This window comes from Homo sapiens, chromosome 9 (assembly GCF_000001405.40).
Source record: "Homo sapiens chromosome 9, GRCh38.p14 Primary Assembly".
NCBI lineage: Eukaryota > Metazoa > Chordata > Mammalia > Primates > Hominidae > Homo > Homo sapiens.
Window position 1 is genome coordinate 84,443,165 of NC_000009.12, and position 23,265 is coordinate 84,466,429.

Here is a 23,265-nt window from a genome sequence, read left to right on the forward strand (position 1 = left end):
TTTCTTCATTCTTTCTTTCTTTTTTTTTTGGACACTTGGAGGCCAAAGGCCAAGCTCTCACAATTTTCTGACTTGTCAGCCTCTACCTCCGGTAGGGAAGGACGTTAGGTCAATTGGTTCCTAACAAGAAACTGCTCAGTGGGAGTCCCCCGCCCTCCACCCCAGAGAGAGAGAGAGAGAGAGAGAGAGAGAGAGAGAGAGAGAACACAGAGACAGAGATAGAGGGAGATGTGTGAGCTGGACCATATGTATCTACAATTATTTGAAACTTCTTTTTTTTTTTTTTTTTTTTAGATGGAGTCATCTTCTCTCACCCAGGCTGGAGTATAGTGGCCTGATATTGGCTCACTGCTACCTCTGCCTCATGGGTTCAAGCAATTCTCCAGTCTCAGCCTCCCGAGTAGCTGGGATTACAGGCGTGCGCCACCATGTCCAGCTAATTTTTGTATTTTTGGTAGAGATGGGGTTTCACCATGTTGGCCGGCTGGTCTTGAACCCCTGACCTCAGGTGATCTGCCTGCCTCGGCCTCCCAACATGCAGGGAGGCATGTGCCACCGCACCCGCTGCTCACAAGCGTGAGCCACTGCACCCGGCACAATTATTTGAAACTTCTAAATGCATACTCTGAAAGGCATTTTTTTTTAAAGGTAATTCTCTTAAAAAAAAAGAGATGTTATAACATTGGATAAATTCCAATGTTTGAGAACAATGGGCAAGATGGTGGGGGTAATTATGCCTGTTTCAGAGGCTATGTAGAGCTAAAATATCTCTCATAAGATTTCATGAAGATCAGGAAACATGAGGTCTGCAGAGGAAGTGAATTCTGAGAGAAAAGAGTTATCCTTCCTCTAATTCAGCCAGGTGTGGGATGCAGAAATGCCTGAGCTGAGAGTAATTGCCCAATAGTTCATCTATATTTGGGCATCGGGACCAGCACAAAGACTTTTTGCCCCAGGATCAGTCTGTTCTGTTGGAGGCTAAATGAAGCTCTGCATTCCCAGTGCCTAGGACAGTTCCTGGTCCTGATTTTTGATTGAATATGCGTTCTCTTACCTTTTCTCTAGTCATTCAATTAGCTATTTGGCCCAATGGGTGGAAAGTTCATTTATTTTTGTTTCTTGTTTATTACCACCATGGGAGTAGCTCCTGATTCTACAGCTGTATTTGCTCTTTCAATCAAATCTCAGTTCCATATCTTCAGCTGCTTACCAGGCATTTGTATTAGGATCTTTTTTTAATTGCTCAAATGCAACATATCTAAAAAAAATCCCTTCTCCAAATCAGCCTCGCCTCTCCAAATTTCCATGGATGCCAAGTTATTGTGCTAGTTATCCAAGTGCCAAATTTTAGAAATGGATGAATCTCTGAATTCAGCCAGTCACTGAATCCCTGGAAATGTTTACCATACATTCTTTTCTCTGAGGTTTTCTTCTCACTGCTCTAGTTCATTCCCTCACCTCCCCATTTCAAAATTTATCCCATAGCTTCTTCCTGGTCCTTCCCAATTACATTGATACCAAATTTATCTTCCTTGGTGTTTATGTCAGAATACTCACCTGCTCAGAATTCATTGAGTCCTAATGTTCTAAATAGTCAATGAACTTTTCCTTCTGACTTTTAAAAATGGTTTATTTACTATTTCCCAAAATATGGACACCTTCAGTTCTGGGCAGACTCACATCCTCGTAGACCACCCTCCTTCTCTGATTCTGCCTTTATGCGTCTTCTCTTCCTCGCTGGATTTCTCACCTGTCACACACCCAGATTACTCATCTGCTCCGTGTCCAGCAAGGATTCCTCCTCCAAGGAGCCCGTGCTCTCTCCTCCATCCCTCATTGTTTTCTGTCTTTGGGCACATTGCGAGGTGAGGTGAGGACAGTGTGGGGACTTGAGATTGCACACAGTGGCCACAAAGACGACCAACGTTTGCTGGGAGCTCAAGCAGTCACAGAGTACTTTCTTTTACATTTTTTCTTATTTCTCAAGGACTCGTCAAAGGAATTATAATATTTGGCTCAGGGAAAAGACCACCTTGTCTGGGGTCATGAAAGTTTTTCTGTTTTTATGAGGACTATCATGTAGATAAATTCTTGTTCTCCAGAACCCTGGTCCTATGTGAAATGAGGATTTAGTGTTTTTTGTTTTTTAATTGATTTTTATTTTTTGAGACAGGCTCTCACTTTGTCGCCCAGGCTGGAGTCCAGTGGCATGATCTCGGCTGACTGCAATGTCAGCCTCCCAGGCTCATGTGATCCCTCCACCTCAACCTCCCAGGTAGCTGGGACTACAGACATACACCACCTTGCCTGGCTAATTGTTTGCATTTTTTTGTAGAGATGGGGTCTTGCTATGTTGCTCAGTCTAGTCTTATATGCTTGGGCTCAAGCAGTCCACCCACATCGGCCCCCAAACTGCTGGGATTATAGGCGTGAGCTATAGCGCTCGACACTTTTTTTTTTTGGATAGAGAAACTTGGCCTGGGGAAATTTCCTCCTTGAGAGTCAAAGTTATGGAAAGCTATTAGGGTGGAAAAGGTGGGCTGATATAAGGCCCTGCAGCAGGAAAGGCCAGGCGGTTGCCTGAGGGGTGAGACCCTTGCATAGAATCGGGTGGTCAGAGGGGACCGGTGCTTCTGAGTCCATGGTGTCAGGCTCATACCTCTGGAAAAAGGCTATATGCATGAATGGAAGGAGCTACAGCACAGTTTTGGTGGGGTGGACCTTGGCTGTCCTGCACTGGCAGAATCCCTGCAGACTGATCTGAGATCTATTCTTAGTTCACACTGTCAGTGTGAGGTGATGACCACTGCATGACTCCGAAGTGACCAAAAGTGATGACACAATGCAGGTGGCAGTGATGGTGAGTAGAATTTTTCTCCAGACTTCTTATCAGTTGTGACATTGGTGGGTCTAGAACTTCCACATGAAAGGGACTTGAGGCAGGCGTCTTGTTAGAGGGTATTGCATGTATGTATGTGTGTCAGGGTGGGGGAGGGAGTGTTGAGTAGCACTTTATGTTATATTAAGAAATCGACTGTAAGGGTATGGTGGTTCATGCCTGTAATCCCAGCACTTTGGGAGCCTGAGACGGGCGGGTCACCTGAGGTCAGGAGTTCGAGACCAGCCTGGCCAACATGGCAAAACTCCGTCTCTACTAAAAATATAAGAATTAGCCGGGCGTGGTGGTGCACACCTGTAATCCCAGCCACTGGGGAGGCTGAGGCAGGAGAATCGCTTGAACCCAGGAGGTGGAGGTTGCAGTGAGCCAAGATCAGGCTACTGCACTTCAGCCTGGGCGACAGAGCAAGACATTGTCTCAAAAAAAAAAAAAAAAAAAATCTGTAGTCTCTATCAAAGCATGGGGACATGGATGAAGATAATGGAGGCCACTTAAGTCTCCCATGCCACCTCCCAAGGCCTCTACAGACTTAACAATAGTTGCCTGGCTGGTGGGAATAGTCAGAACTTGCCCTTTGGCTACAGCCAGTGGCAGTGACACTGTTCAGGTAGCAGTTGTATAATACTTCTGCCTGAAGAGATACAGTCCTAGTTATTTTAAGTGAAGCTGCTGCAACAAATTAGACCCCAAATTGTATAATGGCTCAAATGCGATGGAATTTTATTTCTTGCTCACACAGCAGTCTAAGGGCACTGTTTGTGGTCAGCAGGTGTCTCTCCTCTGGGCAGTGACTCAGAAGCCGGAGCACCATTTATCTAGGTCCTCAGAGACATTGCATTCAGGTAGAAGGGGATAAAAAAGAATGAAGGAGGAACACCTGTTTCTTAAATCCTGGCCCCAAAGTAGTGCACATGACTTCCATTTGCATTCCATTGATGAAAACTAGCTTTATGCCCACACTTAACTGAAAGGGAGCCTAAAGATGCAGTCAAGGTATGTGTCTGTTACCGCTCTGTTATACTAAAAAAAGTGTGTGTGTGGAGGTGTGTCTAGCAATGTTGGTCACAGGCACTGTCTGGGTTCTGTTTCCAGCAGGAAGCTGGGAATACAAGGATGGCCCTTGAGGCTGGAGTAAGTACTCAGATTGCTACTTTTGTCTGTTTCAAGGGAGAGATTTCCCAGGGAGGGGGCCTGGACTTCTTGTCCATCTGGGTTTGTGGGATTTCCATTATTGTGTGGGTCACTCCTGGGGGCTGGCTGGATTGTAGTGTGCATTGTCCACACGCTGAAGCTGGCAATCCAATTATTCAAGACACACTTTGCTAACAACTAGCAGCCTCAGGAATGGGCTGTGTGTTGCTTTGGCAAGAGTGTAAAGCTCCCGGTAACTGGAGATGTTGAAATATATGAATGTAGGCAGGATCAGACTGGTTGGACAGGAAGACTTCTGAGGTCCTCTGGGCACTAACTCTTTGATCCTGCAATTCTGTGTACTTATGAACATAATACTCCAGGGCATGTAATTTGCACTCACCAATATAGTAATTTGTATTACTCATTTTTTCATGGCAACTTAATGTAGAAAGAACACCTGTCTGGGAACTACATGTTGGTGGGACTCAGATACCCTGAGTTCTAGTCTAAACTCATGGCCTTGGGAAAGTCATTTGGCCAACCCATGCTTAAATATTCTTGTCTAAAAAAATCAGGTTGGGCACGGTGGCTCATGTCTGTAATCCCAGCACTTTGGGAGGCCGTGGTGGGTAGAACACTTGAGGTCAGGAGTTGGAGACCAGCCTGGCCAATATGGTGAAACCCTGTCTCTGCTAAAAATACAAAAATTAGCCGGGCGAGATGGCGCCTGCCTGTAATCCCAACTACTCAGGAGGCTGAGGCAGGAGAATCGCTTGAACCTGGGAGGCGGAGGATGCAGTGAGCTGAGATCATGCCACTGTACTCCAGCCTGGGTGACAGAGCGAAACTCCATCTTAAAAATAAATAAATAAAAATAAAGTAAAAATTAAAAAATCAGGGTGGTTATGTTAGGAGAGATTTGTGATAGATAGAATACTGCCTTTGCCCAGCAAAGATCCTTATCCCTGGCACCTGTGTATGGTTCCTTACACTGCAAAAAGGACTTTACAGGTGTGATCAATTGAGAATCATGAGATGGGGAGACTATCTTGGATTATGTGGGTGGGCCCAGTGTCATCACAGGGGTCCTTACCAGAGGGAGGCAGGAGGGTCAGAGTCAGAAGTAGGAGACAGGACGATGGAAATAGAGTTTGAAGCGATATCCTTTGAAGGTGGAGAAAGGGCAATGAGCCAAGGAATGCAGGTGGCTTCCTACAGCTGGAAAAGGAAAGGAAACATTCTCCCTTAGAGAGCCATCAGAAGAAAGGTAGCTCTGCCTCGCCTCAATTTAGCCTGTAAGAACATTTCAGCCTCTGAGCTCCAGAGCTGTAAGATAATAAATGTGCATCGTCTTAAGCCACTAAATTTGTGTAATTTATTGCAGCAGCAATAGAAAACTAGTAGAAGCTCTAAGGTCCCTTCTAGAATGAAATGGTATTTTTTTTGTATGTTCCTTTCATGTCTCTATATACTAAAAATTGTTTTTTCAGTTTTTGAAATTTATTTTTATTTTTTAGAGACAATCTGATGTTTCTCAGGCAGGAGTGCAGTGGCATTTACAGTTATAATCATAGAGAACTACAGCCTGGAACTCCTGGGCTCAAGTGATCCTCCTGCCTTAGCCTCCCAAGTAGCTGGGATTAAGAAACAGCAGTGCACAGGGCTCATGTCTTTAAATAGAATAAAAAACCTTGCAGGCAGGGGCTCCTTCTAAAAATTAATCCACCATAACTTCAGAACATAACTATAGAAGCTCAATAATTATTGATTTTTTAAGTTTAAAATATGAATTTATTCATCAATCTAAAAAGATCAATAATAAACCTATTTATTGTTAATTTTTATAAGGTATCTGGGGGAAAGCAGAGAACCCATGATGAAAATCATGACTTAGCAGGAGCTCTGATGCAATGTGAACAGAAGGCTTTTCCAGACACCAACCAATTCTCCAGCACCAACCAGGTGTCCTGGTTGAATTGCATTAAGTTCAACTCTTCTTGGCCTCTCATCACCAGTTAAGCTCCCGCATCTTTCCCACGTCGTTCAGGGCCTTACAGGGTATCATATTGCCCAGGCAGCTGTGCAGTGGCATTTACAGTTACAATCATAGAGAACTACAGCCTGGAACTCCTGGGCTCAAGTGATCTTCCTGCCTCAGCCTCACATGTACAGGCTCCCCTCTGTCCTTTTCTCTTGCTGAGGCTCTGGATCAGTTTGGAGGATGCAGCTATAAGTCGTCTTTGCTACCTGTGTGGCTCTGACCTTTATTTTGGTAGTAGGACATTTGCCTCTGTGGCATAATAAAAAATATTTGGTCTTTGTCCTTGGTTCGTGGTACACAGCTTCTAAAACCCTTAGAATCTCCTGAGCAATAAGAGTGTCTTCGGTATGCTAATAATGACTCTAGACAGAGGGGCTCCTGGATGGCTGCATGGTGACCGGGGGGCCACACTGTGATTAGAGCTAGAAACGTTCAGCTCCACCCTTGGAGCTTTAGGGAGGGAAGAGAGACTAGAGTCCCATTAGTTACTAGCAGCTGCAATCACGCCTGTGTAACAAAATCTCCATAAAAACCCTTATATGGGCCGGGTGCGGTGGCTCACACCTGTAATCCCAGCAGTTTGGGAGGCCGAGGCAAGCGGATCACCTGAGGTCAGACCGGCCTGGCCAACATGGTGAAACCCTGTCTCTACTAAAAATACAAAAATCAGCCAGGCATGGTGGCAGGTGCCTGTAATCCCAGCTACTAGGGAGGCTGAGGCAGGAGAATCGTTTGAACCCGGGAGGCGGAGGTTGCAGTGAGCCAAGATCATGCCATTGCACTCAAGCCTGGGCGACAGAGCCAGACTCTGTCTCAAAACAAAAAAACAAAAAACAAAACAACAACAACAAAAACCCAAAACCAAACCCTTCTATGATGGGATGCAGGAAACTTCTGAGTTGATGAATACATCCACTTCCGGGGAGGGTGTTGCATCTCAGCTCCATGGGGACAGAGGCTCTTGTGCTGGGGACCCTCCCAGGCCTCACCCTATGCACGTCTTCATCTGACTGCTCATTTGCATCTTTTATAATAAATGGTAATAGGAAATATAGTATTTTCCTGAGTTCTGTGAGTCATTCTGAAACCACCATTGCAAAATTGTGACTGAGTTAGTGAAGGAGATCTGACCTAACCGACTTCATCTTGTGTCTAGCCTCCAGGCTGTCCTTGTTTGTTCCTGGCCGTGGGCTGGGCTAACTTTGAGAGGAACTTGGTTTATGGTTTAAAACAAAGACGATGGCAGCTCTTTCCCAGGGCAGACCACCTTCTTGCCTGGGAACTAGACTGCCTTTGTAGGACTAATAAATTAGCCACAAGATTGGAAATTGTGGTTTGGGAGTCACGCAGCTGGAGGCTATGGGATTCTGACCCTCCCTAAACTGTTCCTACGATCAGTGCTTGAGATATTTTGCAGACCCTGCACTTGATGGGTCAGCTGGCACCACCCAGATTGATTGGCTGGTTCATCTGATCTTGTGGCCCCGACCCAGGAACTGACTCAGTGCAAAAGGACAAATTCAATTCCCTATGATTTCTTTCCTTTTTATTTTTATTTTACTTTAAGTTCTGGGATATGTGTGTAGAACGTAAAGGTTTGTTACATAGGTTCCCTATGATTTCATCTCCTACCTGACCAATCAGCACTCCTGGCTCACTGGTTTCTCCTCACCCACCAAGCTGGCCTTAAAAACTCTAATCCCTGAATGCTTGGAGAGACTTGTTTGAGTAATAATAAAACTCCGGTCCTCCACATAGCCGGCTCTGTGTGAATTACTCTTTCTCTATTGCAGTTCCCCTGTCTTGAGAAATCTGCTCTGTCTAGGGAGCGGGCAAGGTGAACCCATTGGGTGATTACAATTCTAGCCAATTACTGAGGTTGAGGAAGGAGGTTGTGGGAACCCCTGACTTTGTAGCAGAGGCAGACAGAAGTCCAGGTAACCTGCGCACCCAGACTTGCAGCTGGCGTCTGAAGGGAAGGCGATTTTATGGGACTGAGCCGCTTAGATCTGTGGAGTCTGGTGCTAACTCTGGTTGTTAGGGTTAGAATTGAATTGAACTGCAGGACACCTGGTTGGTGCTGGAGGATTGGCTGGTGGAGGAAAACCCCTAACAGGCTCTAGCCCTAGATGTGCTCTCTCCACCCTGAGCTGTAGTCTGCTGTTCCAACCTCTCACCCTCATCTGGGTTTTGATAACTTGCCCAGTTGCCAGCCCTTGTACCCCTGGGCTTCTACCTTGATCTTTGCTAAGCTCTCAAGGATCTGAGATCCTGGCTTTGGTCACGAGCCCAGTGGCTGTTCCCCTGTTGCCTGATGGCAGGTATCCATGAGTCTAACTCCTTGTTGTTCTCCAAGCATTGTCCACTGTCTTTGATTTCCTACATTCTCCTCTGTTCACATCATTAGGACACCTTTTCCCTCCATTAGAATGATTTGATGCCACCAGCTTTATAGAACCTCTAATGCTATGCATCCTGGAGCATTCACTCAGCCTTCCAGAAGGGAAGCACCTACAGTAGGGCTTTCCCCACCAAGCCTGTCCCTCTAGTGGGCAAGGTCAGTTCCTGGTTCTGGACTCTCACACCATGTCCTGATGCATTGCAGCCAACAGGGCTATGCCCCACTGGATTCTGAGAAATGATGTCAGCCATGAACTTGGCCATCCCAGGACCTAGTTAAATTAAGCTCTTTAGATCCATGACTTGGCACATGTAGCTTTAAGGGTCATAGGGCTGTCATTGCAAGGCCAAGATATAGGCAGAAAGGAACAGGAAGTCAGAAGAAAAATAAAAATTATGAGAGATTAAGGAAGGGAGACGGGATGGAGCAAATATGCATATTGAAGGAAATGCCACAATCTTGGTTTCCGGTGTCTTCGGGGGAACTGTTTCACTAGATACTCAATGGACCACCAACCTGCCACTAGGACAGGAATACCACACACTCAACGCTGGGCAAAGTGCTGCCCTCAAAAAGCAAGAACAGAATTATATATACCATGTAGTGGCCTTTAAAATGTGGGATGTGGCTTAAAATGAACCTGAATTTGCATCTCAGCTGAGGAAACTTAGACAAACTACCTGACCTTTGGAAGCCTCAATTTTCTAATTTCTGAAATGTGGGGGTAATAACAGCAACTTCCAAGTGCTTGGCACAAAGTGGATGTTCAATAGATGATGACTCTGCGTTTCCTCCTTGTCACTTTTCCTGTCACAGCACCACAGCAGCACAGTCTTAGAGGCTTTGCAGTGCCATTTGCTGCTTTTCCTGAATGGTGACTTGAAGCAGCAGACTTCTGCACACTACCTACTGTCCAGGTGTCCCAAGGCCAGGCTATATGTGGCTGCTACAATTGTCTCTTGCAGGAGGCACATAAAAATGTGCTCATCAGTGTGGGCTGCCATATTTAGGACTAACATCTAACATTAGATGAGTCAACATCCAGGCGCATTGTCATTGGAATTGCTGGGAAAACACACAGGCAACCCCCACTCACTGGCCCCTGCTTTCCTAAGCCTAGGGAGCCACCCTGGATATCAGGGGGTCTTTCCAGGATAAGTATTGTAAGGGCAGCAGGTTAATAGCAGCCTTTTTACTCATGAACACAGGTGAACATCAACATCCAACAAATATAGGGCTTCTGCTGCATGCCAGCCACTGTGCTAGATGCGAGGGATACCACAGTGTGCAAGACACATCATTCACAGGGAAACGGGGAGAAGAATCATCTGTCTACAGATTAATATCTAGAGTCAGGCAAAGAACCTCCTCATACAGAGTGAAAATAGAGTATTATTTGTAAATTGGGCACCTATTATTTGCTTTTTGCTAACGGAGGATCCTCCCCCAACTGCCCTGCTTATTTTGAGACGGGGTCTGTGTCACCCAGGCTGGAGTGCAGCTCGGTGTAGCCTAGACCTCCCCAGCTAAGATGATCCTCCCACCTCAGCCTTGTGAGTAGCTGGGACTACAGGCATATGCCACCACGCCCAGCTAATGTTTTGTATATTTTGTAGGGACAGGGTGTCGCCATGTTGCCCAGGCTGGTCTTGAACTCCTGAGCTCACGCATCTGCCCCCTTCAGCCTCCCAAAGTGCTGGGACTACAGGCATGAGCCCCTGCCACCGGCCCAGAATGTATCTTTTTTGAAATTCATTTTTCTACCACATAAAGTGATTAAAAGACAACTAGTTGTTGAATTCAAGGCAAATGAGCAACTGTCTATTGGTGAGAAGTTCTATGATTCTGGCTTGGAGATGTCTGCCATGCAAACGTATAGGGCAGCCCTGGGGGGTGCTGCTGACAGCCGAGAGGGCTGGTCAGTTACAGAGGGCTTGGCTGGATGGGGCTTTGAATTCTTGGCTCTTTTGGTATAAAGAGAAGGAAAGCAATGTCTCCACTGTGTCCCCTTCTTAGAAGAGAGCCTTGTTTAATGGCCAAAATGCAGACATGGGATTTAGCTCTCATAAATCCTACCTCTTCTCTGCCCCACGTGTGGCTTAAGTCATGCTAACCTCACCCTGTCTCAGTCTCCCTTTCCTGTAAAAGCAGAGAGGCAAGCAAGGATTTCAGAGTCAGAAAACATGTATGGCATTTCTGGCTCCACCATGTAGAGCTGAGAGGAGTTTAACTCTTAGAACTTTCTCTTTCTTTTCTTTCTTTCTTTTCTTTCCTTTCTTTCCTTCCTTTCCTTTCTGTCTGTCTGTCTTTCTTGTCTCACTCTGTCGCCAAGGCTGGAGTACAGTGGCACGATCTTGGCTCACTGCAACCTCTGCCTCCAGGGTTCAAGCGATTCTTCTGCCTCAGTCCCACAAATAGCTGGGATTACAGGTGTGCACCACCACCCTGGCTAATTTTTTGTATTTTTTAGTAGAGACAGGGTTTCAACATGTTGGCCAGGCTGATCTTGAACTCCTGACCTTAAGTGATCCACCTGCCTCAGCCTCCCAAAGTGCTGGCATAACAGGCATGAGCCACTGCGTCCCACCTAACTCTTAGAACTTCTGTTCTCTTCTCTTACAAATCATTCATTTACAGTCTTTGAAATCAGAAATAGGACTTTACAGCCCCATGGAGAATAAGCCACCCCATGATGCTTATTGAATAGATGGATGGACTGCTACGCTGAAGTATGACTTCATCTATTTCAAGTGCCTTGAGGCCCATGGATCAACACCTGTATGGACACGCCAATGGTCTTCAGAGTCACTGCCTGGGTCCCTTACAGGGATGGGTGTGTCAGTGAGGTCTGGCACTGCAGCTACATTGGGAGAATGTTCACATTCATCTCTTGTTTATTTCGTGTGGATTACTTTGCCTTCTCAAAACCCATTACCCAACATTGCTCTCTTCAGCCTGTGGACCCTGCCCCACTCCTGCCCTACCCCTGGTGAATGTCTCCAGGTGTGTTTTCTCTGGCAAAGGAGTGATCTAGATTTGAAACTTGCCTTGCCACTGGCCATCTGTATGACTTGGGATGAGTTACTGCATCTCTCAGAATCTCAGTTTTTTTTTTCCTCTTTATCAGCTCCGTTGGGGAGAATATGCCTGTGATGCTTTTATCTTTCTTCTGGCAGAGTAGTGGTGAGTGTCAAATGAGATAATATTTTGTGTGTCTGTGTGAACAGAGTTTGAAAATCTAGAAGTGGTTGTAGTTACCAAAGGTGGAAGTTTTGTAATTATGAGTTATTAGCATCCCCCAGCCAGTAGGTTTGTATATGTCTTCCCAGCCACCTCTCAGATGCCCAGGTATACTATATAGAAAATAAAAAGAAGCAGAGAATTGGCAGGGCATGGTGGCTCATGCCTGTAATCCCAGCACTTTGGAAGGCTGACCAGCCTGGGCAACATAGCGAAACTCCATCTCTACAAAAAATAACAAAAATTAGCTGGATTTGGTGGCTTACTTCTGTAGTCCCAGCTGCTTGGGAGGCTGAGGTGGGAGAATCAATTGAGCCCAGGAGATTGAGGCTGCAGTGAGCAGAGATTGAGCCACTGCAATCCAGCCTGGGCAACAGAGTGCAGTGTCTCACTCAACAAAACAAAACACCCCCAAAGAAATAGAGAATTAAAAATGCACCTTAATGGTCAAATTCCATACTATGTTTAGAGAAAGCCTCCCTGCTCTCTGGTGTTTTATTGACTTATTTGACCCTGGAGGCAGAGATTTCCGTGGAATTGCAGGAAGACTAAAGTAAATATATGCAATTTTCTATTTATTCATTCACTTTTCTACCAGCAAGTCATTATTGAACATCAGCTGTATACAATGATGAATCAATCATAGATCTGCTCTTGTGATTGTTTCAAAATGTTAGGAGAAATAGTGCTATATCTTAAATCACAATACAAAGGATAAAATGATAGGCACTACTATTACAAGAGAGATATAATGCTGTGGTTACGCTGAAGAGAGAGAGAGAAAATTTATTGCCAAGGGGAAGGAAGGCTTATTAAAAGATTTTTTTTTTTTTGAGATGGAGTCTCACTCTGTTGCATAGACTGGAATGCAGTGGTGCAATCTCAGCTCACTGCAACCTCCATCTCCCAGGTTCAAGCGATTCTCTTGCCTCAGCCTCCCGAGTAGCTGGGATTACAGGCATGTATTTTTAGTAGAGATGGGGTTTCACCATGTTGGTCAGGTTGGTCTTGAACTCCTGACCTCAAGTGATCTGCCCACCTTGGCCTCACAAAATGCTGGGATTACAGACATGAGCCACTGCGCCCGGCCAAGAAATGGTTTTTAACTGAGTCTTGGAAGGTGGAGAAAATGTTAACTTAAAGAGGTGGGCTGGGGAAGGGAGGGCACCCAGGCAGAGAAACAGACTCGAGTGAAGGTGGGTGCAGAAAGGAAAGGGCTTCTCTCCATTCTCAGTGCCCAGCCTCCTCGTGTGACTTTGAAGTCCCCTTGATCCCTAGTGTAGGTTGTGCTCCTGGTATTAAGCTTGGTTTTTTTTTTTTTTTTTTTTTTTTTTTTTCCATTTCTCTCTTTCTTTTAAGAAGTCCTGTTTTTTTTTTCTTTGATCATTCTTAAGTTTCCAAAAATAATCTGCTATCTTGCCATGCAGTGGATGTTTTCTTTTTCCTTAGGAACCCCCATTGAAAATATTCGGTACATCTCAGCATGAGAGGCCCCTGGCACCTGCCTGCATAACCTTGGTTGCATAAGATGCAAGAGGTCCATCAACTTTCTTTTTCTGGAATATGAAGCTCACTTCAAAGTGCTCTTCGGTTGACTAAGCCTTGGGAGGTGCCATGTCCAATCACCACTTGTCAATTATTGTGTCCTCTGGGTCCCCTGCCTTGCTATAAGATCAAAGGAAAGGGTAGTCCCATTGTACAAGTGAAAATAAGGTTTGTTGCCTATTGGTAGCTGATGTGGAGTGGAAACTAAATAACGGAGGTCAAGAAACTGTCAGTCCAGAGTGTGGAAAGGATCTTCAGTGTGTCTGAGATATCAACCCAGGTGGAAAATGAAGCCTAAACCACCATAGCATTCCAGATGACTGAACTGCTCAAGCGTGAATGCTTGAGAGACTCTCATTCATTTACTTGATTCATTTTACAGGAAGCTGGGACCAGTCCCCTAAATTAGGTTATACTGCATGGCTCTCTCCTCCAACCATAATCAAGTAGCAAAATAAGCAGAGCCAGCATTCCTTGATTCTTACTGGGTATATGTTGATTAATAAAGTTGGGCTGCCCTAGAGTATAAGATGATGATTTTTAGATTGTCAGTTTATTATTATTATTATACTTTAAGTTATAGGGTACATGTGCACAATGTGCAGGTTTGTTACATATGTATACATGTGCCATGTTGGTGTGCTGCACCCATTAACTCGTTATTTACATTAGGTATATCTCCTAATGCTATCCCTCCCCCCTCCCCCCACCCCATGACAGGCCCCGGTGTGTGATGTTCCCCTTCCTATGTCCAGGTGTTCTCATTGTTCAATTCCCACCTATGAGAGAGAACATGTGGTGTTTGGTTTTCTGTCCTTGTGACAGTTTGCTCAGAATGATGGTTTCCAGCTTTATCCATGTTCCTACAAAGGACATGAACTTATCCTTTTTTATGGCTGCATAGTATTCCATGGTGTATATGTGCCACATTTTCTTAATCCAGTCTATCATCCATGGACATTTGGCTTGGTTTCAAATCTTTGCTATTGTGAATAGTGCCGCAATAAACATACGTGTGCATGTGTCTTTATAGCAGCATGACTTAACACTCCTTTGGGTGTATACCCAGTAATGGGATCACTGGGTCAAATGGTATTTCTAGTTCTAGATCCTTGAGGAATCGCCACACTGTCTTCCACGATGGTTGAACTAGTTTACAGTCCCACCAACAGTGTAAAAGCATTCCTATTTCTCCACATCCTCTCCAGCACCTGTTGTTTCCTGACTTTTTAATGATCACCATTCTAACTGGCATGAGATGGTATCTCATTGTGGTTTTCATTTGCATTTCTCTGATGGCCAGTGATGTTGAGCCTTTTTTCATGTGTCTGTTGGCTGCATAAATGTCTTCTTTTGAGAAGTGTCTGTTCATATCCCTCCCCCACTTTTTGATGGGATTGTTTGATTTTTTCTTGTAAATTTGTTTAAGTTCTTTGTAGATTCTGGATATTAGCCCTTTGTCAGATGGGTAGATTGTAAAAATTTTCTCCCATCCTGTAGGTTGCCTGTTCACTCTGATGGTGGTTTCTTTTGCTGTGCAGAAGCTCTTTAGTTTAGTTAGATCCCATTTGTCTATTTTGGCTTTTGTTGCCATTGCTTTTGGTGTTTTAGACATGAAGTCCTTGCCCATGCCTATGTCCTGAATGGTATTGCCTAGATTTTCTTCTAGGGTTTTTATGGTTTTTAGGTCTAACGTTTTAAGTCTTTAATCCATCTTGAATTAATTTTTGTATAAGGTGTAAGGAAGGGATCCAGTTTCAGCTTTCTGCTATGGCTAGCTGGTTTTCCAGCACCATTTATTAAATAGGGAATCCTTTCCCCATTTCTTGTTTTTGTCAGGTTTGTCAAAGATCAGATGGTTGTAGATGTGTGGTATTATTTCTGAGGCCTCTGTTTTGTTCCATTGGTCTATATCTCTGTTTTGGTACCAGTGCCATGCTGTTTTGGTTACTGTAGCCTTGTAGTATAGTTTGAAGTCAGATAGCATGGTGCCTCCAGCTTTGTTCTTTTGGCTTAGGATTGTCTTGGCAATGCGGGCTCTTTTTTGGTTCCATATGAAGTTTAAAGTAGTTTTTTCCAATGCTGTGAAGAAAGTCATTGGTAGCTTGATGGGGATGGCATTGAATCTATTAATTACCTTGGGCAGTATGGCCATTTTCATGATATTGATTCTTCCTATCCATGAGCGTGGAATGTTCTTCCATTTGTTTGTGTCCTCTTTTATTTCATTGAGCAGTGGTTTGTAGTTCTCTTTGAAGAGGTCCTTCACATCCCTTGTAAGTTGGATTCCTAGGTCTTTTATTCTCTTTGAAGCAATTGTGAATGGGAGTTCACTCATGATTTGGCTGTTTGTCTGTTATTGGTGTATAGGAATGCTTGTGATTTTTGCACATTGATTTTGTATCCTGAGACTTTGCTGAAGTTGCTTCTCAGCTTGAGATTTTGGGCTGAGACGATGGGGTTTTCTAAATATACAATCATGTCATCTGCAAACAGGGGCAATTTGACTTCCTCTTTTCCTAATTGAATACCCTTTATTTATTTCTCCTGCCTGATTGCCCTGGCCAGAACTTCCAATACTATGTTGAATAGGAGTGGTGAGAGAGGGCATCCATGTCTTGTGCCCGTTTTCAAAGGGAATGCTTCCAGTTTTTGCCCATTCAGTATGATATTGGCTGTGGGTCTGTCATAAATAGCTCTTATTATTTTGAGATACGTCCCATCAATACCTCAATTTATTCCCATTTATCCCATCAAAACTCTCAATTTATTGAGAGTTTTTAGCATGAAGGGCTGTTGAATTTTGTTGAAGGCCTTTTCTGCATCTATTGAGATAATCATGTGGTTTTTATCTTTGGTTCTGTTTGTATGATGGATTATGTTTATTGATTTGCATATGTTGAACCAGCCTTGCATCCCAGGGATGAAGCCAGCTTGATCATGGTGGATAAGCTTTTTGATGTGCTGCTGGATTCGCTTTTTGATGTGCTGCTGGATTTGGTTTGCCAGTATTTTATTGAGGATTTTTCACCGATTGTTAGTTTTATGAGCTAATAAATTTTAAAAAATTGGGTTCCAACACAGAATTGTTAACTTTATATCTTGCTGAATTAAGAAATTAAACTAAAAGGACCTTGACAGTGACAAACTTATGGTCATTATTTTTAAAAGAATTATACATCTATCTATCTATTTTTGAGACAGAGTCTCGTTCTATCGCTCAGGCTGGAGCGCAGTGTTGCTATCTCGGATCACTGCAACCTCTGCCTCCTGGGTTCAAGTGATTCTCATGCCTCAGCCTCCCAAGTAGCTGGGATTACAGTGTGCACCACCATCCCTGGCTAATTTTTGTATTTTTAGTAGAGATGGGGTTTCATCATCTTGCCAGGCTGGTCTCGAACTTCTGACCTCAGATGATCCGCCTGCCTTGGCCTCCCAAAGTGCTGGGATTACAGACGTGAGCCACTGTGCCTGGCAAGAAATATAATTTTTATATGAATTATTAGGAAGTGCATAATCTCAGAATAAAAGATGGCCCTTCCTAAGAAAGCACATTTGGTAATCTTCTACCTTGGTTTTTGCTCTAAAATGCTTAAGACGGCATCATGGTGAGCCCAGGTGGTGGGACTGGCCTTTGGGGACTCTGTATACTAGATGACCACTGAGTTCATTAGTCTATTTGGGAAAGATCGCATATGGATTGAGGAACTTCATGAGGGCATGGATCGTTCTGGAGACAGCCATGTCAATTCTTACGATGTTTATTTTGTGCTGGCATCATATTTCCTGGCATTTGGGGAGTTGATGGAATGGCCCAATTCACTTTTATTCTGAGTCATTTGTGGGAAGAGAAATTTAATTCTCTGGGAACCCTTGTTCGTATTAGTGTTAAATCATTTGTCTGCTGTTTAATGATTTATATTCACAGAGCAAAGAGGTCCCAGAATTGCATTCCTGATTGTGCTACCCCCCAAAGCCTCCCTCTACCACTCTAAGTTAGAGAAATAATTTAGTCTTGTGCCTTAGGGAATCCACTCAAGACACTACTCTTCAGTTTACTCATTGCATGTATATATATCTTAGTGTACTGATATTAGGCTTTTAGTTGAGTACTAGACTTCTTGAGTTTACTTAAATTGGCACTATATTGTATTTTGTGCTATTAACATGCTGAACTGCTTTTGCTTTGTTAACTCAGCAATTAGGTTCCTCCCAAACTTTATGCACCCTTTTTGGTTCATAAATTGTGATTCTCTGATTTATTTTTCTTGAGTTCATATGTTTAATGTGGATGGGCCTTTGGTGCTCATTAAAACAGAGACTTTTATTTGAAAGGTTGTTCTCTAGGTTGTGCTGGTGGGACCTCATATATTACACTTCTCAACATTGCCATCCATAATTTAGTGTAGTGTTCCTATGCATGTAATGTTTCAGCATTTGCAGTGCTTATGAGTAATTGACAATCTATGATGGTACCAATAAATCAGACAAGCCAGGCTCAGCCTTTTATGGTCAGTCTACCAGGGAGGAAAGCTGAAAATCAGTGACTGCTATTAACTGGGAGCTTTTTAGATCATGAAGTCAGAGAAAGCCTTTATTATTAATACATTTTGAGTGGTTGTTTAAAGTAGATATCCTGGGTTGGATAAAGAGACATGAAAAAAATGAATCTTAGTTTATTTTCTTTTAAGTTATTATAATTCATTTCAAAGGAATGACTTATTTTGACAAAGTGAGTGAACTTGAGTTGTAATGTGTATAATAGACTGAATGATGAAGGAGACCTTGGGTTGCATGATGTATTACATATGTCGCAGAGTCAGGGAAATTAGGATTTACTTTCGTGAAATGCAAATCTGGAACAGTGTGGCTTGGGCACCACAACACAGTACAACACGAAGTGTGGTGCATAATGCAAAATACAGCAGTGTGTCTGGAATGTTTTAAATGTTACATTGCTTAGGGATGGGTCTGGGAACGTGTTTTTGTGAGACACATACCTTGAATTTCCATTGTTGGTCATGAGTATTCCACACTGGCTCAAAACTGATTATTGTCTTTTTGTAATATTCTTTTTGACATTGGGAGAGGTATGTAGGGGTCAAAAGCTTGCAGGAGGAGCCAGGCACAGTGGCACATGCTTTTAATCCAATCCCAGCTACTCGAGAGACTGAGGTGGGAGGATCACTTCAGCCCAGGAGTTGGAGACCAGCCTGGGCAATATAGCTATACTCTGTCTTACATATACACACACAAACAGACACACACACACCCACACACACACACACAGAGTTTGCAGGTGGGGAAAAAGTGCCCTCTGGTGTTTGAAAACTCCTGTGCTGTGAAATAGAAACCGTTATGAAGCTGGGTTAGATGGGATTAAAATGCATGAGCTCTAGAGGCCGGTTGGCCTCTGGATTTCATTTCCCGCCTCTGTCATTATTGTACCAGACATGGGACCTTGGGCAAGCTGCTTAACCCGTCAGAACCTTAGTTTCTTTGTCTCTAAAATGGGGAGGAAATTCTTGCCTCATAAGGATGTTTTGAAGAGTAGACATTTGATACACACCTGGATAACTGCTAAGTAACTTTAGGCTTTCCTCTCCTGTGCATCTGGAGAAGAAATAGTCATCACGCAGCTTCTAGCTCTGTCAACTCAGGAGTCTCTAAACATTCTAGAACAGCAGTGCAATGGCCATAGGTTAAAACAGAACCCTGTCTATGCAGCTGGAAAGAATGCGGAACCATTTAGTTCAGGCTGGGGTTGACAAGGCTGTCTTTTCAACGTTAGCCTTGAAAAAAATCACTTATACCTGTGAGTTTAAAAAAAAGCACAGGTAAATTTATTTTTTCATATCTTGTTTTCAGGTTAGAGATCCTTTCTTGTATTGATGTATGGAATTAATGCGTGAAACCCTACTTCAGCTAATGATGCCTTTTTTTGGCAATAAAAAATGTAAATAGTCTGCTTGGGAGTGAATAAATAGAAATTCAGGTGTACAGTATTGTCCTACTTGTAACAGGGGTCAATCATGAGTATGTTTACTGAGCAATCAGTGTTTGCTAAGAGCAAGAAACTGACCTGCTCACTATTTTGACTTATTGATTCACTAAGATCTTACTTCTTGGCCTTTTCTCTAAGAAACCAGTAAAACTATCTTTTAAAAATTCAATTATAATGTATATTACTGGTATATGCAAGCAACACAAAACAAAACAGTCTTCTAACAAAACCTTGACCAAAGAATTATACAGGTGCTGTGGCTCATGCCTGTAATCCCCATGCTTTGGGAGGCCAAGGCTGGTGGATTGCTTGAGCTCAGGAGTTTGAGACCAGCCAGAGTAACAAGGTGAAATCCCACTTCTACAAAAAAATACAAAAAGTTAGCTGGGTGTGGTGGTGCATGCCTATAGTCCCAGCTACTCGGGAGGCTGAGGTAGGAGGATTATTTGAGCCCTGGAGGTCGAGGCTGCAGTGAGCCATGTTCACACCACTCCACTCCAGCCTGGGTGACAGAGCAAGAAAAAAGAATAACATCTTGGTAGTTATATAGCAAAAAACTGACCAGGGGAAAATTTGTCTGGTTAAAAATAATCAACATGAACTTAAAAAGGCAGTGGCTAAAATTATACATGATAATTAAAAAAATACATTATGGAAAAATCGAATCTTTTTGAAAAAATTTAGATCTAAAAAGCTTGGGTTAGAAACATTGGATTTGACCAAAATATTGGCCACAGAAAGACAAGACAGAACAAACGAGGAACACCTTTTGTGATGATTAATTTTAGGCGTCAACTTGACTGGATGGAGGACTCCCTAGAGTGAGGGTATTTCCAGAAGAGACTCGGCATGTGAGACTTAGTGGACTAAGTGGGGAAGATCTACCTTCACTGTGGGTGGGGCATCATCCAGTGGGCAGTGGGCCCGGATAGAACAGAAACAGAAAAAAAGGCAAATTGGCTTCTTTCTCTGGGAGCTGGGATACACTCTTCTGCTGCTGCTGGAACATCAGAACTGTAAGCTCTCTGGCCTTTGGACTCCAGGACTTAGACCAGTGGCTGTTTAGGTGATTAGGCTTCTGGGCTCAGACTGAGAGTTACACCATCAGCTTCCCTGGCTTCCTGGGTGCTACTGGCTTCCCAGGGTCTCCAGCTTGAAGACAGCCTGTCGTGGGACTTCTCAGCCTCCAAAATCATGTGAATTCCCCTGATAAACCCCCTTTTGTATATCTGTATACCTATATCTGTCTTCTCTATCTCTGTCACCTTTATTTCTCTATCTATCATCTATCTATTGTCTATGTATCTATTGTCTATCTATCTATTGTCTATGTATCTATTGTCTCTCTCTCTCTCTCTCTCTCTCTCTCTCGATTGGTTGATTCTATCTCCCTAGGGAACCCTGACTAATACACCTCCCAGTGGCAGATGCTAAATTCTGTAAAATTTGGTATGGACATAAAACTAATCAATGAACTAAATTTCACTGGACTAAATTTATGCCATAAATTTTATGAGGAAATGATTTAATAGCAATCAAACTAAATTTATTAAAATAGAAATAAAAATGGAAATAATTGAGTATCGTTTAAGCAAGGAATTAAATTAATAGAGTTCACTTCTGAAAATGTCTCTTTATGAACATGGATTCATGTTGGTGCAACTCAGACCTCTCCTGGTCCACATGCTCTAGGGATGTTCTGACACAGTACAAATTCCGAGCCCTAGCTGTGGCCTGGCCCTGCGCGGCTTGGCTGTTAGTTATGCCTCTTGCCTCATCTCCTCCACCTGGCCCTGGTTCCCTCTGCTCCAGCCACACTGCTGTCCTTACTGTTACTTGTACATGCCAGGCACACACTCCTTTGATCTTGCCATGTTACCTCTTCTCCCAGATATCACCCAATTCACTCATCACTTTGTGGTGGTCTCTACTTAAGTATCACTTCTCAGAGAGAACTTCTTGGACTACCCTACTCACTCTCCACCCTCTTTCCTTGCTTTCTTTTTTCTCATGGTAATTACTATTTCCTGACATTATTATATCTGTCTATTTGTCTTGCCTCCTTGGCTAGACTGTGGGCTCCAAAGGCTTTGGTTCACTGCTCACTCTGCAGTGTCTCAAAGAGGGCTGGGGATGCAGGAAGCTTGACAAATACTGGTTGAACAAATTCTCATTAAAATGTTTGCATTCATTACCACAGAGCCAACATTTTCCCTGCATTGAACTTCAGAGTCAAAATATTCAAGAAGTCAACATTGGAGGAGAAAAGGGACAGGATCTACATATTCTGCATCACCAGAACCCGTGGTCTGCATATGTGGCCAACATTAGTGCCATTCACTGATGGTTCTGATTTTCTTCCTTCTGGGTAATTCCCCTCTGTCTTGAAGATGAGCATGGTCATAGGACTTGACTTGGTCAATGAAACATGAGCAGAAGGGATGCATGTCACTTCCATGTAGAGAAGCCTTGCAGAGCTCCTGTGCAATTTCCTAAGTCCTTCTCCCTGCTGTGGTGAACAGAGACGCTCTTGACAATTGTGACTTTATCATCCTCGGCCCTTGAGGGGGGATGGTGGGTGCTGGAGCTCTCCCACCAACCTGAGTTTGATGTGGAGCAGGAGGCAGAGCTATTCTTCTGTGGTTTTAGGGCCACTGAGATTTTAGGGTTGTTTATTGCATAACCACCCCCAACCATTTAATCTTTACCTTGGCCATAGGTGGCATTCATTATTATTATCATTTATCACCATGGAAATAGACTTCACAGAGGACAAGCAATTTGTCAAATGTCACATAGCTACTAAGTGGCAGAACTGAAAATTCAAACCCAATTCCAGCTTATTGCATGACCTGAGCTCTTCACTTGATCTTCGCCAAAAGGCCGAGAAGTGATGGCCTGAGCTCTTAAACATAAGCCTGCCAACTTCTCAGGAATTATCAAATATGTTACAGTCCACAGGGGCAAAAACATGCTCATAAGAGCTACACCAGGCTTGTTCAAAACCAGGGAACCATTTACATCCTTTCAAAATCATGTGACATGGCAGTGATCCAGAGAGATCATCAGATCTCTAGGTATATAGTTTCCTTTGACTGCCAGCACATGCAATAAATTAACTATTAAAACCCATGTGAAGGTAACTTGGATTTGATGACTTTGGAAGGGGGCTGGACAAGTTCCTGCTTGGGTAGATTTTAGCTATTCCATCATTTCCATTTAGAGTTTTGAAAAACCCAGTGGCTTTACCTAGAAACAAAACAGACATATTCTAAAACTGATATTTGAGGAGGCCCAGTATATTCTTTTCCTATGTGCAAATTTAGAAGAAATCAGGCCATCTGATGGTTAGGGGAGGGCATGGCCCAGGGCAAAGAGTGGCAGGATCTCAGACCTGTGGCTGAAGGCTCAGAGCCCACCCTGCAGACTAAAACCCAGCCTAGGGCTGGTGGGGCGGGGTGGGAATATGACTCTTATTTCTATGTTTCCCTGACTGGCACCTCATTTTCTTTTAATCAGACAGTATTTAGGGCCTGTTGTCATGTTGGGGTTCAGTTTTGACAATTGTTTTCCATTTAGATCAATTATGATTTGAATTACTTCAAATTCAGGGGAGAGGGGCTCCTTACTATTTCCTCCATATATGGCCAAGACAGGCAAGCAGATAATTTTTCAAACATGAAGAAAACTACTTTTGCAAATTTAAGATGGGATAGTCATTACATGTGCAGGAAAAAATGTTCTGTAATGAGTTTATTTCAGGATATCAGCCATAATGTGTGTATAAATATAAACACACGCTTATACACACACACATTTTATATAATGAGGTCTAATTAAGAATTGCTGAATCCTTTCTTATAGAGCTTTTTGGTTTAAGCACGTGTGTGAACAAATTTAAATGTGAGGGTTTTTTTTTTTTTTTTTTTTTTAAATAGAGACAATGTCTCACTGTCACCTAGGCTGGAGTGCAATGGCATGACCATAGTCCATTGCAGTCT

General features: G+C 43.4%; 2 long non-coding RNA genes across 12 annotated transcripts in view; both read left to right on the forward strand.

Moving 5' to 3' along the window:
* LOC102724036 (uncharacterized) overlaps positions 1–23,265 on the forward strand; it is a 247,231-nt gene that overhangs the window by 33,364 nt on the left and 190,602 nt on the right. The window lies entirely within an intron of this gene.
* LOC124902192 (uncharacterized) lies at positions 559–22,396 on the forward strand. Its single transcript, XR_007061630.1, has 2 exons — positions 559–648; positions 21,465–22,396. It is a non-coding gene; the product is annotated as an uncharacterized LOC124902192 (long non-coding RNA).